Below are 1,113 nucleotides of genomic sequence, written 5' to 3'. Positions count from 1 at the left end.
CACTTTTCCCTATTTCTCTCTTTATTTATTTTTTGTTTCTTTTTCTTTTTTTTTTTTTTTTTGAGATGGAGTCTCACCCTGTCACCCAGGCTGGAGTGCAGCAGTGAGGTCTCAACTCACTGCAACGTCCTGCTCCCAGTTCAAGTGATTCTTGTGCCTCAGCCTCCCAAGTAGATGGGACCCCAGGCACGCACCACCACGCCTGGCTAATTTTTGTATTTTTAGTAGAGATGGGGTTTTGCCATGTTGGACAGGCTGGTCTCGAATTCCTGACCTCAAGTGATCCTTCCACCTCGGCCTCCTAAAGTGTCGGGATTACAGATGTGAACCATCCCTGCCCAGCCACCTATTTCTCTCTTCACAAAGTTTCTAAACTTTGCTGTGTCAAACCCATTTAAACAATGATTCAAATACCAAGAGCACCCAAGGAATGTTTCAGGTTTCTGTCTCATCACATGGCTTTGAGGAAAGAGCAGAAGTGCAGGCAGGGCATACCCATGGCTGTGGGGGTGGAATCTGCAGCCAGGCTGGGGTGAGTGATTCTGGGGCTCTTGAGGCACAGACCTGTGGATTCCCCGGGGTGAAGGATGTGTGTAGGAACATAAGGAGAACTGAATAGCACTAGAAAGGACATGTGTGTCCCTGATTTCAGCATTTCTCTGAAGCTGAACCCACTGACACTCCTGTCACCTGACAATTAACATTCTATGCAGAGGGATCATTTGTTTAAGGCTTTTTCCTTTAGGAAGATTATCGGGAGGTTTGCAGAAAGGAAGCAATTTTAGCAGGGATGAACCCATAGCAGTGAGAGCTTTGGAAAGCAGGGCAATGCCGGACTACCTACTTTTTTGTGTAGTGTTTTGTTGATCAAATACAAACCTTTGCCAGAGCCTGATTCTGATTTATCTTTGTTACATCAGAGGACAGTTAGCTCCTATGCTATGAGAGAAGGAACAAAACAAAACCCAAAACTTGCCCCAAAGTTTATCAATGAGACTACGTTCCTTTAGTTTCTTTGGTCCCATCTGAATTGGTGGACACCAAATGTGCCTGTGAAAACTCTTCACTGTAGTGTCCAGAGCCCTGCTTGTAGCCACCAGGCCACTGAGATGA

This window comes from Homo sapiens, chromosome 2, assembly GCF_000001405.40.
Source record: "Homo sapiens chromosome 2, GRCh38.p14 Primary Assembly".
In the NCBI taxonomy this organism is placed as follows: Eukaryota; Metazoa; Chordata; class Mammalia; order Primates; family Hominidae; genus Homo; species Homo sapiens.
Note: the sequence above shows the minus strand (reverse complement) of the source record.